The 17,585-nt window shown below is 37.8% G+C and overlaps 1 protein-coding gene across 25 annotated transcripts in view; it reads left to right on the top strand.

Moving 5' to 3' along the window:
- GRM8 (glutamate metabotropic receptor 8) overlaps positions 1 to 17,585 on the top strand; it is an 814,344-nt gene that overhangs the window by 432,150 nt on the left and 364,609 nt on the right. Inside the window, exon 1 of one of the 25 annotated variants that reach the window (XM_047420277.1) lies at positions 14,683 to 15,497. The exons of the other annotated variants lie outside the window; for them this stretch is intronic. Coding sequence (XP_047276233.1) covers positions 15,410 to 15,497 — 88 coding nt within the window. The 5' untranslated portion in view covers positions 14,683 to 15,409. Of the gene's footprint in view, positions 1 to 14,682; positions 15,498 to 17,585 lie in introns of those variants that run through there. 25 annotated transcript variants of the gene reach the window in all.

The raw sequence follows: 17,585 nt of genomic DNA, 5'->3' as shown, positions 1-17,585 counted from the left end.
TGGTGAGGCCTTCAGCTCATAGGAGGAAGATGGCAGGGTTGGAAATTTGAGAGAGCAGAAAGGGTTTAAGCAGCCAGTGTGGAGAAACAGAGAGAGAGAGAAAGAACTGGTAAAGAACATGTAGAGGATGTCCAGGCTGTGCTGAGAATGAGGTGGCAAGACCACACCTATCCGTGGTTTTACTGTCTCATATGGTTTTCTATTATGTGATCTCTAGTTCATGACGTGGACTGTTGAATTTATCCAAGGTTCAGTTTTTGTCAGGTGGGTGCCAGAAAAATAATTGATTAAGGAAGATAAAGATGTTGTTAAGAAAAGGTAGAATGGATAGACTCAAATCTAACCAATGGAAATGAGGTGAAGATAGGGTGGTGCTGAAGAAGTGACAGCAGTCAGTATATTGTTTCAATTTGGATTTCTTTGATTAGTAGTGAGTGGTGAATGCTTTTCATATATTTATTAGCCATCTATATTTCTCATTTTGTATATCATCTGTAACTATTTTTCCAAAAGATAATTTTTTGAGGAATTTGTAAGAACAGTTTATGTTTTGAAGATATAATGTATTTATTCAATAGGTGTATTTCAAATATTTTATTTTCAGTTTTGTGGTTTGCATTTTTACTTTCTTTCTAGAAGATTTTATTTAAACTGATAGAACCACACTGTTCAAAAAATAGCCATTAACAAGTGGCTATGAAATTTAAATGTAATTTGAATTGTTTAAATGAAATAAAATTCCTAAAATGAAATAAAATTAAAAATTTAGTTAGGAAGTCTTACTAGCTAAATTTCAAGCATCCAGTAGTTATGTGTGGGTAGAAGCTACTGTATTAGACAGTGTACCTATAAAATTTTTCCATCATTGCTGAAGGTTATATTGCTATAACTCTGCTATGGAATTTTTTTTTAATTGAAAAAGCTGATATTGCTTTCTTTTTATTGATGGTTGCCTTCGGATTCATGCTTAGAAAGGTCTTTTCCATTCCCCAACATGATATAAATGTGACTTTTTATTTCCTACTAGTATTTCTATAGTTTTTTTAAAAAATCTATTTACATTGTTAATATTTCTAGAATGTATTTTGTTGTATTGAACGAGCTAAGGTCTTACTCATATTTTACAAATTTTAACATAAATTCCAATAAAATTAAATGAAGTCGAAATGGCATCTTTAACATTTAATGAATACTTAAATATTCATAGTTTATTTATTGAATATTTATTATATTACATTGATTTGTTAGAATTAGTTTCGCTTTGATGAATATTTATCAAAGAGATTAATATGATGAAGACTAAGACACGATTACTTCCCCCATGAAATTCATAGTTTAGCAGAGAGGCAATAGACACAACAAATATTTACAATGCTTTGTGAGTGTATTTGTAGGAATGTGAAAATGAGTCCAATGTGGTTTCAAAGGTTATTAAAGTGGCTCTATATCTGGGAAGTTGTGAGATTAGGGTTAATGTGGAGTTTGCGCGTGCACGTGTGTGTGTGTGTGTGTGTGTATGTGTGTCTGTCTGAATAGGAAGGGAGTGAGAAAGGGGAGAGTGAGGGGACGATAATATGATAAACTATGGTGAAACTAAATTGTGAAATATTTTGTGTGTGACTCTCTTGCTTGTTTGCCATCCAAAGATTTGTTCTCTGGGAAGACAGATCTCCTGTTCAGTTAAGGATCAATTGCTGGCTGGGTAGACACAGAAACGGGAGATCCCTCAGATGGCCGCCCTAGTTGCAGTTCAGGTGAGAGCTGAAGGGGGCCTGAACTGGGGTATTAGCAGTGGGATGGATTAGAGAGACTCTCAGAAGGTGGAAGTGACAGGGGTTGGTAATAATTGGATTTGGAAGGAATCCCTAATTGATTGATATTCCAAGGTATACCTGTAGACTGAAGTATGCCTCCAGTTCTGCCAAGAATGAATGGGTTTGCTGACATGGGACAGCTGAGTATTAGGCAATGAGTCATTCACCTTACTACTATCATTTCCTTGTCAAAGTTTTAATAATTAGATGTGATATCCTTATGTTTGAACATAGCTGGAATTTAGCATAGAAGAGAATCTTAATGCTAGAGAAAAATTACTTACCTTGGTTCATCACAGTGCCAAGATTAATTCTGGTAAGAGTGATGTGGTTACAACTTTTAAAATTTTAAATGTATGACTCAGAGCATTTTCGCTTTTACAGATTTTATCTGAGGCAGACTGAATAAACCAGGAAAAATAAAATTATTATAGCTGAAAGATTTGACATTTGATTTTTTTTATTGCATTGAGGGTCTAAACCTTAATTTAATGACAGTAAGCAAGAAGAGGTTATCCTTGTCTCCTGCAATTATATCTTCTGGTTTTCCTTCCTGGAAAATATTTAACAGAACAGTTGATTTTATTCACTTAAAGAAGATAATCAAACCCTTAGCCAATACCACAGAAAATTAAATTTAGATTTAACGGGTTTTAGGGCATGCTTTTACTAAATATCTCAAGTTACGTTTCCTAAGATTTATGGAATGAAAATATCTCGTCTAGAAGCCAATTTTATTGTTTGACTGGTACAAATGAGACATTTCTGTTAATATTACATTTGACTAATATATGTTCTATTAAGATATTAAAGAGTCACAGTTTTCTTAGAAGATTCCTTTTCCTTTACCATCTTCCTTTTTATCCAGTTGGAAACAAATCCTTTAATAATTTTTTGTTTAATTTCACTGTTCCTGCTGTTCACAAAAAGAGTCAAAGAAGTTTAAGACTTATGTGCAATAATTCACTAGTTGAATGTCCTTTGATTCTAAGTGTTGTTTTTTTAATTCCATAAGGCTTGCAAAAATTTTTGTTTGCTGTGGTATTTACTATAGTTTGGGAAAATAAAGTGTGTCCAGAGGAAATTTTTAAAAATAGAAAATCTAACGATGTAACTATACAGAATGAATGTATGATATTTTCATTTTATCCTTTTAAAAGGACATTTTACTTACCTCAGTGAAATTAATTCTTTTTCATTGAGGTGGGTTATTGACTCATAAAACAGCAATGCTCAAACGACCTCCCTTTCAGCCACTCCCCTCAAATGTCTGCTTCTGAAAATCAATTGCTCAAAACTGATGATAGCAAAAGTGGTTAGGATGTGTTTAGAGGATGATAAATGATAGGGAAGGACTTTTCGTAAATATGCAACCTACAGGATACTTTCTAAATTTACTGGTAACTGTACATCGATAATCCTCAGTAAATAAACTGAACCTTACAAATGAATCAGACAAGCAAGAACTCATCACCCCTCAAGTAAATTATTTCTAAGGGAACTGGTAAATATTTTGAAAATATTTAAATGGATATTTATGACATTGATTAAGTGAAGCCCCATGCATATTCTCCATAGTATCATTTTATTGTAATTCCTTCACTGTACTAGAAGGAGCTAAATAGTAAATATTACACAGCCTACTCTAGGTTGTTTAGATATTAAAATAGCAAGAAATTATAAGATATAAGGAATATTCACCAAAGGTAGTGAAGGTAGGTATTAATGGAGACAAAATTCAGTTGTATTCCAAATTCTGCCCCTTGTCAAAAATATAGAAGTAATCCAGTTAGTAACCATACATTTTTATGAACACCATTTTAAAGAAAAATAGAAATGAAGAAAAGGAGCCATAAATGTGTGGAAACAATTGAAGTGTATATAAATCAATGTTGAACTTTTCATCATATTAGATTCATAGCATGAGAAATTGATATTAGATATTAAGGATTTTTAAAGGAGTATAATAATGTGGTTATATTTCATAAGAGTCTTTATTTCTTAAAGATATATAATGAAATATTACAAATGAAATAATGATGTTTGGGATTTTCTTCAAACAAAATATAATGGAAGCGTGAATAGAAGGACTATGGATAAAAAAGATTGCCCATGAGTTGATAATTTGTGCAACTGGGTGATGAATCCATTGAGATTTGTCATACTATTTGTGTACCTCTGTATATGCTTGAAATTATACGCTACACTACACACACACACACACACACACACACACACACACACAAAATCATATACTATCTCACATTAGGTAGCAAACAGCAAGACACAGTTACCATCCCATCTGAAGAACATAGCTACTACCAGAAACCATCATCATCATCATCATCATGACATTTAATCATTACACCAAATCCATTTAGGTGATTACATTACTCTTATTTTTCAGAAGAGGAAACTAGGACTTAGAGATATTAACAATCTTTTCCAAGGTTAGATATATATTGAATATCAGAACTGGTGATTTTAAGGTCTATTTACTTTCCTACATTATGGGTACACTTGCTAGAGTTTAGTATTCTGGGTTGCCTGTGGACATTGTACAAGGATGTGTGAAAATAAATTAAAACTACCTAAATGATAACAAACTATTTATTCAGAGTTTGTTATAGTTCCACATACCATCACTTGCACTTTTCAGAGATTCAGAGATAGGCAGGAGGGTGGTAAAGCCTTATATTGAATTTAAAAAAGCAAAGATACTATACATGCTCTGATAGGACATTCTTGGCATGGGAAAGCTGGAGGTAAGCCATCTGGAAGTGGGGCATCTTACGTGTTTGGTTTGGGATGCATATTTGGATTTTTCTTTTGGCCCTGAGTTGAGACTAGGGACAAAATGTAGGGAAGCTGTCTGAAGCCTGCAGACTGTGGTTTGGTTTCCCAGGCTCATTGCTGTGGAGATTGTGCATTAGAGTGCTATTTTCATATATTGTGACTATATATATATATATAAAAATCTGGCCTTTGTGTATTTGTATGTTTAGTCTCAGTCTCACCTTTGCATCATTCTCATGGAAGGCTTAAGACCTTCACCATTTACGGATTGTTCAGTTGTACATATAGTCATCATTTCCCAAGATCTTGACCTTTTTGTTGTGTTATCATCATGGCTATCATCTGATAAGAGAGTGGCTGCACAGAAGTATCTAAGACTCTAGATAGCATGCAACAGATCAGCATCATGAGCACTATGACAAAAAGAAGAATAGTTTATAGTCCTTATAAGATGTTTTGGGTCCAAGAACCTAAATTGCCCAATTCAGGCTGTGAGAAAAATTTCTACAGGGCATGAGGATCACCTTAGAGATTTAGGTAGCTTTTTCATAAGGTAGCATATAGCCTGTACTACCTTGCCTGTTTTATTAATTCATGTACAGCAAGAAGTATTACTATTGGCACAGATTCCACCATGGCTAGCCAACAAGAAATTAGAGCAATGATATTATGCATTACTACTGCTGATGAGTTAAGACTGATGTGTATTACATCTAGGGCAGAGTTGGTACTGTTAATAACTTCTGTTAGAGTTAATGTTAAATTTCTTAGTCTTTTCTATGTATACGATTTCTGGTGTTGGGAACACTGTTCTGATTATTCATATAAACAATGAGTCAGTAATTCTCCCTGATAGAATGCTTCAAAGGTGGCCTCATTTTGGAACTTGTATTTGAGTCAGAATTTCCAGCCTTGATGATTTATAGAATCAGGGCCTCTGTGTACCAAAAAGACTTGAGGTGTTAGCCTGAGGCAGATGAGACCAGGAATTTTTGTCACGAACTGGACAGCCATGGACAAAAAGAATTATTCATGACATGAGGTTGGAACCAAGGCCTCACATTAGCTGAGTTTACCTATTTGAATCTCTATTACTGTCTTCCTGGCATCAAGTAATTGGCCCATTGTCCAGTGAAGATTATGGAATTCAAATTTAGAATTATATAGAGTCTGATAAACAGGCAGTAAGAATTGGTTCTTTTTCTGGTATAGAGAGACAACAGCAAAGTCTTAGGTTGATTTGTTTAAAGTCATTTGTCCATGTAGGTACAAGTGGAAATGTCACTGATTATAATTTGCTGGGGTATCATTTGATGAGACTAGGATTGCTCAGAGGTTTTTTATCAGGGGTTCTGGTTCTGGTTGACCTATACAGCAGTCTGTAATATTGAGGGCAGTGGCTTATTTTTGAAAAAAAAAATATAAGAATGGCATTAGAATGAGTATGTTCTGACTTAATTATAATAGACAAAAAAAAAAGAGAAAAAGAACCATTATTAGTGGATGACAATCAGAGCTCTATGGAAAATAAGGAGAGTGGTAACAGGTAAGAAGATTGAAAAACAAACAAGAATGCAGGGGTTTTAGGTTGGATGTATTGGGTGCAAGCTGTCTACTGTCCAAGATCATCTTTTTCTGGAGGTTTTGGATCAGCCATCTGCTTCTGAAGACCAACTATTTCTATAATATCTCTAAGAATTCTGTTTAAGTTTTTCTGTTGGAGTAGCCTTCCAGTTGTATAGAATATTGAATTGCTTCTTTAGTTATGAAACATGAATCCAAGGATTGATCTCTGGAGTTTCAATGATGTATTTGTTGTTAAAAGTATCTGATAAGGTCCCTTACAGGGGAGGTTCAAGAACAGTTTTTTCTAATGTCTGTTCTAATAATCAGGATCTCCTGTTGAAGATCATAAAGAGGCTGTGTAGGAAAGGATTGTAAACAAGTTAAGAAGTCAATCTTAACTTATTGGTGATAAAACTGAGTATACTACATGAGCCTCTTTTGCTATTTTGTCATATTTTTGTGTAGCAGGGTAGTCTAATACTGTAGGTGGTGTCCATAAATGAAGGGGCCTTCCAGTTACCAGTTCATAGATAGATAACCAGTAATTCTCTGAGCAGGTGGACCATATGGCCATAAGTGCTGGTGGAAATAACTTTGGCCTCCCAAAGGAGGCTCACGTCCTTCAGAAAGCTTGCTAATTTTAATGATGCTAGTGGTTCTTGCAACTTTTCTAGAAAATTGTGAGTAATAAAGGCAGTGTCATTTTTGAGTAAGGGACAATGCATTACAAATTTCTTTTACAATGGCTCCCATAAAACATGAGCCTTGGTTACTTGTTATAAAAGTTGGTATGCCCCAAATTAGAAATGCATTATCAAGGAGCTTTGTACTGATTGTGAAGGCTGTAGCTTTTCAGCAAGGAAATGTTTCAACCGATCCTGAAAATAGGCATACAAGTTTCATGGAGAATGGAAATTGGACAAAACCTATCTGAGGGTGTTAAGGGTTCTTGAGGTTTCACATCCACCTTTATAGTTTCTCCAAGATGCTGTTGGGTTGACAGGTGACACATGATCTAAAAATAGCCTCATCAGTCCATAAATCTTCCCCACCAATGATGATTTAAGATAGTAACCAATTTGTCTGTACCATGATGAGTAGTTTTATAGAGAAATTTTGTTCATATCCATTGGAAGTTATTCATGTCTCCAGTGTCCTCATTGGGGGTGCCAGAGATGATCTGTGTGAAATGTGCAACCAGAGTTTTTCCATTCTTCCTTTTTAGGACTTTTTAGGAACTTAACATTGATATTTCATAACGGCCTTTTTGAATATTTCAAGGGATTTATTCTTTGAGAGTTTAATTAGGCTCATAACCTTGGTGAAGCCTGCTTATTGGCAGAATGATCTGCTATAGCATTTTCCCCAAACTTTCATACTATCAGTTTTTGTATGGGCTTCAACCTTTGTAATAGTCACCTCCCTAGGAAGCATCTAAAAGTTTCTTTTTTTAAACTTTTAAGTTCAGGGGTACATGCGTAGGTTATATAGGTAAACCTGGGTCATAGGGGTTTGTTGTACAGATTATTTCATCACCCAGGTATTAAGCTTAGTTCCCTTTAGTTATTTTTATAGATCCTCTCACTCCTCCCACCCTACAACCCCTGGTAGGCATAAAAACACATACAGGTAAATGTTCACTGCAGCACTATTCACAATAGCAAAGCTATGAAATCAACCTAAATGCCCATTGGTGGTAGACTGCATAAAAGTTTCCTGTCTGTTTTTGATGGAAGTTCCAGCAGAGATGAGAAACCTCCTTGGTTGCAAAGCATCCCAAAGTCATGTACTACTGCAAAAGCATACCTGCTCTATGTATGCATGTTTACTTTCTAGGGTTTTGTTAGATTGTAAGCTCTAGTAAGCATAATACGTTCTGCCACCTGAGCTGATGGTACCTCAGTTGGAGGAGTATAGAGTGTCCTCCCTTGGTATCTGCTGGGGATTAGTTTCAGGACTCCTCCTACAGATACCAAAATTCAAGTACACTCAACTTTCCTATATAAAATGTAATATTTGCATATAATCTACACATATCCTCCTGTATGCAGTCATGGGCCACATAACAATGTTTTGGTCAATGACGGACTTCATTTGCAACAGTGATACCCTAAGATTATAATACCATACTTTTACTGTACCTCTCCTATGTACTTACCATTGTGTTACAATTACTTATACTATTCAGTATAGTAACATGTTGTATATCTTTACAGCCTAGGAGCGCTAGGGTGTACCACATAGCCTAGTTGTGTAGTAAGCTATACCACCTAGGTTTGTGTAAGTACAGTCTGTAATGTTCGCACAATGATAAAATTATCTAACAATGCATTTCTCATAAAGTATCCCCCTCATTAATTAATGCATGACTATACTTTAAATCATCTCATGATTGCTTAAAATACCTAATATATGTAAATGCTATGCAAATGGTTGTTTACTGTATTTTTTATTTGTATTATTTTTTCTAATTTTTTTAAAAAGCTATTTGTATAAATTTATGGGGTACAAGTGTAATTTGGTTACATGGATATATTGCATAGTGGCGAACTCAGGGTTTTTAGTGTATCCTTCACCAGAATAATGCATATTGTACCTATTAAGTAACTTTTCATCTTCACCCCTCTCACCCCTCCACCCTTCAAAATCTTCGTTGCCTATCATTTCTTCTAAGAACTGGAACAATACAAATATGCCCACTTTCACCACTCCTATTCAATATAGTACTGGAGGTCCTAGCCACAGCAATTAGGCAAGAAGAAAGAAAAGACATTCAAACTGGAAAAAAAAGGATGCCAAATTATCCCTATTCACTGATGATATAATCTTACATCTAGAAAACCCTGAAGACTCTACCAAAAAACTAGATTTGATAAATGAATCCAGTAAAGTTTCAGGGTACAAAATCAACAAATAAAAATAAGTAAACTTTGTATACACCAATAATCATCTAGCTGAGAATCAAATCAAGAAGGTAACCCCATTTATTATAGCCACAGAAAACCTCAAAATACCTAGGAATATATTTAACCAAGGAAGTGAACGATGTCTACAAGGAAAACTACAAAACACTAATGAATAAATTGTAGATGACATTAAAAAATGGAACAACATCCTATTCTCATGATTCAGAAGAATTAATGTCATTAAAATGACCATACTACCCAAAACTATATATTCAATGCACTTCCTACCAAAATACCAGTGTCTTTTTTCATGAAATTAGAAAAAAAATCCTAAAACCTGTATGAAACCAAAGAAAAAAAAAATCCCGAATACCCAAAGCAAGCAAAAAGAACAAAGCAGGAGGTATCACATTACCTGAATTCAAATTATACTACAAAGCTATAGTAACCAAAACGGCATGGTACCAGTATAAAAACAGACATATAGATCAATGAACAGAATAGAGTAGCCAGAAATAAAGCCACATACTTACAGCCAATCAATCTTTGACAAAGTCTACAAGAACATACATTGGGAATGAACACGCTTTTCCATAAATGATGCTGGGAAAATTGGATAGCCATACGCAGAAGAATGAAACTGGGCCTCTATCTCTCACCATATACAAATATCAACTCAAGATGGGTTAAAGACTTAAATGTGAGACCTGATACTATAACAATACTTGAAGAAAACCTAGGGAAAACTCTCCTGAATATTTTCTATCTGTGGTTGGTGGAATTCTTGGTTGAGGAGCCTACAGATGTGGAGGGCCAAGTGTACTCTAAAGGAGACCTTAAATTAGTGAGGGATAACATATCCTGTTTGATAACCTCAAGTTTCTGTTTTGAGACATCCGCCAACAAATCATATTAGGTGAGAGTTTCCAATGGGAATCTCTAACAAATCTGAGTGAGGTACATAAAGTTCCTTCACTTAGGTAAGATAATTGTAAAGTTTCCCTTCTTTTGGTAGGAGCAGGAGAGTGGGAGGACTTAGGGTACTGTAGTGGTGAATTTTAGTAATGTGGGAGGGAGACAGTAACAGAGTCTCATAAGAGGTTAACCAACTGGCTGAAAAGCATTGTTTGCTCTTAGTCAGTAGTAATGTCTGTACTGTGTAAGGAACCATGAAGTCAAGTGGGGAGCTAAGAACTAATTCAGCAGAAGCATTGACAATTTTTGCAGCAGTGGCTATTGTCCTGAGACAAGGAGGCTAAGTCTGTGCAACCGGGTCATGGGTGCAGTTATAGTAAGCAGTGTGTTTCTGATGCTTCTCTTGAATTTGAGTTTAAACCTCAACCTGTCCAGATTACTCATGCACAAATAGATAAAAGAGCTTTTTGTAGTTAAGGGTACTTAGAGAAGGTGAGGCTCTTAAAGAGCCTTCTTTGGATTACAGAAGCCCTGTTCATGTTTTTCCTCTTAGAGGAGAGTATCTTTTATTGAAGCCCTAGTCAATTCATAAAGAGATGTTGCAATCCCAGAAAAGTTTGGCACTCATTATCTTCAGTATCAATTAAACTTAGAATTTCTCTAAGTTGTCATTTATTAGAGGGCCAGGACAAGTTGAATTGTCTTTATAATGAGAGTATGTTTTCCCCTTTATACATAGGTCATACCCTAAATAATTGACTCTATTTTGACATAATTGTAATTTATTTTTTGAAATGTTATGTCCTTTTCTGCTAAGACTGAGAGTAAGTGGAATTCCTCTTACAGGCTTTGTTGTCCTGTGAACAAAGTAAGAGATTATCTACATACTGTATCAAAACTGAATCAGAAGGGAAACCTATGTCTTTTAAGTCTTATTTGAGAATCTAGGAAAATAGGAGGGTCTTTAGTGAACCCCTAAGGCATGACTGTCAGAGTATATTGTTGCACTCCCCAGGTGAAGGTATAAAGGCATTGACTTCACTACAGACACTCTGAAAAGGGCAGAGCAGAGATCTGTCCCAGTGCAGCAAGTGGCTGGCATTTGGAATTGATGAGAGGATGGTAGTTAGGTTACATTCTATGGGGAAATTAAGGATAATAATTTTGTGGATGGCCCTGAGGTCTTGAACAAATCAATATTCTCACTTCTTTGGTTTCTTTACTGGCAGAACGGGAGTGTTACAAAGGCTAGTGTAGAGTATGGGAAGGTCTTTGATATAAGGCTTTTATCTATAGGTTTAAGTCCTTCCTTTGCTTTTGGATATTGGGGGAGTTTGGATAACTGTCTGGTAGAATCTGTCTGAAGTTTAATAGATTTCCCTCTAATTATTTTTCCTATATCAGCAGAAATTTTAGCCCATGCAATGTCAGGTAAAATGTTGTGGTAAGCAGAATAATAGCCCCTCAAAGATGTTCACCTCCTACTGACCAGAAACTATGTCATCCTATATGTCAAGGGGGTTCAGTTTGTAGATGGAATTAAGATTGCTAATTAGTTGACTTTTACATTATCCAGGTGGGCCCAATATAATCACAGTGGTCCTTATAAGTAGAAGAAGAAGGCTTGTGTTAGAGAGATTTCAAGATGCCCCACTGCTTCTTTTGAAAGTGGAGGAAGAGGCCATGAGCCATGGAATTTAGGTGGCTTTTAAAAGATAAAATACGCAAGGGAACAGATTCTCCCTGTGAGATTCTAGGACTAATGCAACTCTGGTGACTCTTGATTTTAGCCCAGTTAGACCCATTTTGCACTTATGACCTACAGAACTGTAAAATAATAAATATGTGTTGTTTTAAGCCACTATGTTTGTGGTAATTTGTTACAGCTTCAATAGGAAACTAATCCATATATCAGGAGCTTTATCTGTGGTAGGCATCAAATGTAATGGAGGAGGCAAAGACATACCAGAGCAGACACAATTTGATAATGAATAGAGGAGGACTCTGGAACCTCAAGAAATAGTTCTTCTGGTTTGCATTTCATACTACAGTTTAATTTGCAAAGTAAGTCACTTCCTATTAAAATTTCAGGGATTTTATCACAGAGAAGGAAGGAATGTTTTTTACTCAAGAGCCCAAGGATTACAGTTAAAGATTGAGATATAGGAACAATCTGTGCATTATTTGAAAAACCTACCACCTATGTTGTATGTTTGCTCTAAGGAAGAGGCTGAACAAAGGTAACAGGGTGTAATGAAGACAGAGTAGCTCTTGTACCTGCCAGCAGGTTGACCATCTATATTACAGTTAATTCATCTTGAGTGTTTACAGTAAGGTAGGATATTGGGTGCTTTTTCTTTCTTCAGATTACCCTCACAGATCTGAATTGAGAGATTTTTCTTTGACTTGGTGTTTATTTTGCATGATGGGACAATCCTTTTTTCCAGTGTCTCTTCTGTTTTTAATACTTGCAAGTATCCTTTTCGGTAGGTGATGGGTCAGAAAGTGAGCTACCTAGCTGTTTGATCTGCAGGTCTCTTAAGTTTATTTTGGGTCTTGTCTTGTTTGGGTTCTGAAGCCCTTTAAAAATGTTCTGTATGATATTGTAACTCAGGTAAAAGAGTCTACTTCTTATGCTAATTTCTGTTTCTAAATTGAGTCTCCAATTTCACATGTAATCCATTGACAAATATCCTATAGTGTCATGTTTTCTCTGTTTGCATGATTGAATTATAGCCCAATCTATTTTTACTGTAGCTGTTTCAGGACTAGGATATTTTTTTCTACCCTGAGGTTTATTGTGGAAAGAGGGATCATCTAGGTCTCCTTTTTGAGTCATTCCGGTCCATTTTTGTCATTTAGGATTTAGTGTCTGAGGTTCCAACCAACATACATTTAAGTTGTCATAGGTCAAGTATCTATGGGTTGTAGGCACTCAAAATAGTCTAAATTATTCCATGAGTACGTGCTAGTCTTGTGTGGAGTTAGGAAAATCCTTAATTATAGCTTTTAATTCAGCTCAGATCTGAGGCCTAAATTCTAGAATTGCCTACATGCCTGGGACCACTTGGGACTAGGACGGATGGGTCTTTAGAGGCAACTGGGATTTTAGGGTTTTAGGAGAATCATTTGGAAAATGTAGGGAGTCCAGACAAGGAGAAGTGAAGGGAGGAGATGATGGAAGAGTGGCAGGAGAGATAATATAATGAAGGGGGAAGAGGCAAAAGGGAAACCTGGATATAAGGAGGCAACTGAAGGACTAGGAAAACAGGGATTTACTAGGGAAATGCATCTCGCTTGATTTTTAAGTTTGTCAAACCGAGGGTTAGCCTAGACCAAAGCATCTTTTAGTGAAGAAGTTTTAGTGAAGAAATCAGAATTTCATTTGGAGACCTCTGCACAAGAGAAAAACGCTGCTCCTTAGGCCTGAGAAATCTTATTCCTTTTTTTTCCTAAGGCACCTCTCAAATGAACATTTTTTTTCAAGTCGAAGTAGCCTTTGGTCTCAATATTTTTTTTTGTGAACTTGTGCCATTTAGAGAGCTATGCTCAAGAGTTACGACTGCAATGACAGTACATAAAAGAAGCAGAAGTTTTTCTTGGAGGAGAAGACCTAGTCTTAACCTCATGAGACCTGCCAAAACTTAGTCAAAAGTAATGCTTGTGTACTTCATGTCTCAGGTCCTCAACAAGTCAGCTGCCTATAAATGCAGACCTGACAATGTATATCCCCTGGTAGTGAGAGGTGACAACATGCTAGCAGCCCTCGCTCACTCTCGGTTCCTTGTTGGCCTCGGCGTCCGCTCTGGCCGCGCTCGAGGAGCCCTTCAGCCCACCGCTGAGCTGTGGGGGCCCCTCTCTGGGGCTGGCCGAGGCCAGAGCCGGCTCCCTCTGCTCGCGGGGAGGTGTGGAGGGAGACGCGCGGGTGGGAGCTGGGGCTTACGGGTGGCCACCGGCGCGGTTCCGGGTAGGCGCGGGCTCCGCAAGCCCCGCACTCAGCGGCACAGCCGGCAGGCACCTGCTGGGCTTGACTGGGGGGCGAGCTCCCTCTGGGCTGCCAGAGTGGCTGGCTAGGTGCCGCAAAGTCCCGCGACGCATGCCAGTGACAGGTGAAGCCGGCTGGGTTTCTGGGATGGGTGGGGACTTGGAGAACTTTTCTGTTTAGCTAAAGGATTGTAAACGTACCAATCAGCACTCTGTGTCTAGCCAAAGGTTTGTAAATGCACCAATCAGCACTCTGTCAAAACGGACCAATCAGCTCTCTGTAAAATGGACCAATCAGCAGGATGTGGGTGGGGCCAGATAGGGGAATAAAAGCAGGCCAGCTGCGCAAGCAGCCACAATGCACTCGGGTCCTCTTCTGGACTTTGGAGGTTTTGTTCTTTCGCTCTTTGCAATAAATCTTCCTGCTGCTCACTCTGTGTCCGTGCCAGCTTTCTGAGCTGTAACACTCATGGCAAAGGTCTGCAGCTTCACTCCTGAAGGCCGCGAGACCACGAACCCACTGGAAGGAAGGAACAACTCCAGATGCGCCGCCTTTAAGAGCTGTAGCACTCACCGGGAAGGTCTGCAGCTTCACTCCTGAAGTCAGCGAGACCACGAACCCACCGGAAGGAATAAACTCTGGACACATCTGAACATCTGAAGGAACAAACTCCGGGTGCACCATCTTTAAGAACTTTAACACTCACCACGAGGGTCTGCGACTTCGTTCTTGAAGTCAGCAAGACCAAGAACCCACCAATTCTGGACACAGTAGGCTGAACATCAGGGACAAAACTCTTGTCTGAATCAAAGCAAAACTTCAGGACCCCAAAAACAAAATAGAATAGAAAAAAGACCTCGTCCAGTTTTGTTGGTGACTCACAGCAAAGTTTGTACAAATGGAAACTGGTCTGGAGAGAACCGAAAGTCTGTGAGACCAGCTCAAACTATAGGCTTATAGGACTCATGCCTGTGCTCTACCCTGGGATTCTCATTCTAATGATAAACGCTTTCAGACAGTCCGACACAGAAGAATGAAATAAAGCAAAGAGGGTGAGTAGGAAAGGCCTGCCAAGGATGTCAAACAAATGGGAGACAATAACAAAACTTGGGTACCAAACAGAATAAACAGCCAAGGGACTCAGTGAAAAGATAGCTGAGTTCAGACCTCATGCTGACTTTCCACATCTGCATGGATGCAAGCCACAAGCAGCAAGCTGTAAGAGGTATCCATGGGTACTGCACCTGATTGAAACCTAGGGACAGAAACAGTGGGTGGTGCAGACCATGTCTCAGTGGAACCTCTAGTAATACTGGGGGAATAACAAAGACTATTCAAAGCAGAATAAGTGGAGGTATTCACACACAGCTTGCTACAGCAAGGGAATCAGCCACCATCACTTGCCTAATTCCAAGACAGGCAGGGGGATGCGGAAGCTTTGTTCAACAAATACATACATGTTAAATAGTTCCAGTTGTGCTCTGATTGGACATTATTGCCATGGGGAAGCTGAAGGTAGGCTAACCAGAGGTGGGGCATCTTATGTGATGGGTTTGGGGGATCATTTTTGGCTTTTTTGGATTGGTCCCAAGTTGAAAGCAGAGTGGAGACAAAAAATAGGGAAGCTGACAGTCATTAAGAAGGTCAAGTCCTGACCTTTCTGAGCCAATTTCTTTAGGAGTTACGGTTTGGCTTTCTAGGCGTATTATTATAGGGATCATGAGTTAGAGTTCTATTACTATTTATGGGCTGACCATTGGGATTGGTATACTCAGCATCTCAGATGGAAGGAAAGTGTCAGAATAGGTTCATGGAGAATATTGAGTGGTAAGAGGACCACAGTCTGGGCAAGAAATTTCACCCTGCTGTTGATTTATTTATTTGGAGGGGAGGGTGCAGTTTCTGGTAGAATAGTTTCTAGCAGAGCAAGATAGAGTTGGTTAAGATTCTGAAAGTCCTACAAATTATTAACAAGCCTCAGCATAGGTAGAGTAAGTCATAACAGAAGCTAGATGTAGTTAATTCCATCTCATATCCTTTGTTATAAACATACAGAGGCATACCAACTACCACAACCAAGTTGCTGTAATCAGCCGTAAAGAAAGGGGCACTATTTGTAGTTCAGGCTGTAATGTTTTCAGCTTGTAGCACATCCTTAATGAGGATAAAATGCAGGTGTCTTCGTTGAATGGATCTTGAAGTGGAATTATAACTAGATTTTCTTTAAGCTGCATCTGTTAGATAAAGGTGGAAGCAGGGAGAAGGATGCAGAGAAGAGACAGGAGAGGAGGGAGCTCTCAAGCCAGGTTTTTCACACAGAAAGTTCTGCGGTCAATAGGTTAATGGCAAAATGTTTACTTCAACTGGCTGCCTGACCTGGCCAATTATGGCAGAAGAATAAACAAAGGAATGAGACAATGAAGCGGGATAGAGTTGGAGGGGATTTGTAGAAAATAAAATGATTGTGTGCAGTCATTTCAGTATATCTTGGTTATGTTTGGAATATTTGGAAAGATAACGAAAAGAAGTGATCCTGCTAAGTAAGAGCTTTCCTTAAAGTAGTAGAGATAAGGGAAAAAAGCTAAGCTGCCAGACAGCTGCAGGGAAAGCCAAGGGGCTGGTGAATCAGGCCAATGGAATACAACATTGATAAGAGCTGTAATTGCAAAAGTGCAGACTGAGAGGACAGTTAGGAGAGGAGATTGAAATCAGTTTTAGAAGAGAGAGTGCATCCCTTTGATAATTACCCTTCTGCATCTTTTGTGATTAGTGTACAAGCAATGGTAAGTTAACTATTCCATTTTTAAAATCTGACCATTAAAACAAAAGAAAAGGTACTCAATCAGTCAGGGACTTGCATTAAGTCATGATAATAGTATTAGTGACGATTTACTATGTGCCAGGCATACTGCCTTAAACTTAGCACTTTAAACACATGATCTCTCATTTAATCCTATGAGGCAGGTGTATCCTTAACACTATGTTATAGAGCAAGACAGTTAGGTTTAACGAGAATAAATACTCTGCCCAAGTAAGTGGTGAACAACTTAAATTCATGGCTGTTTGATACTGGGGCTGGAGTTCTTGACCATTGTAGTCAGCACCCTTGCTTAGAGATAATTAAGGACTTTGTTTACTTGGTTTGTGGAGTCATAGAACAATGCTTAAATCTCACAATAACTAGAATGTGCAGGACTGGAAGAAAGGCAAAGATCATCTCTGAGGATGTGGAAGAATGTAAGCTCTGATTATAGAATTTATGAAAACATTGATAATAAGACAGCTAACCATGAGACTCAAACTACCTATAATTTTTTTTGACTTTGATTTATATTTGAAAAGAGAACCTTGCTTCTCATTACCTTTCTATATAAGTATATACGTTTATGATTAGAGTTCCCTCCTCTCAACTAAGTGCTGGAGGCTGTGTAAGTAGTTTTGTATTTTGAAAGAATTAAACTAGACATCTTAGGGAGAGTATCCATGGAGCTACCCGCAGTCTGTGCCCACACATACCTGTGATGTTACTCAATAAACCAATATTGCCACCTGCTGGTAGCTTCTCTGAACTTCAGACACAAGGTTCCAAAGTCCTTACTAGTA

This window comes from Homo sapiens, chromosome 7, assembly GCF_000001405.40.
Source record: "Homo sapiens chromosome 7, GRCh38.p14 Primary Assembly".
NCBI classification, from domain to species: Eukaryota; Metazoa; Chordata; class Mammalia; order Primates; family Hominidae; genus Homo; species Homo sapiens.
The sequence above is the reverse complement of the archived record's forward strand: the minus strand, read 5'-3'. Positions and strand labels throughout refer to the sequence as shown.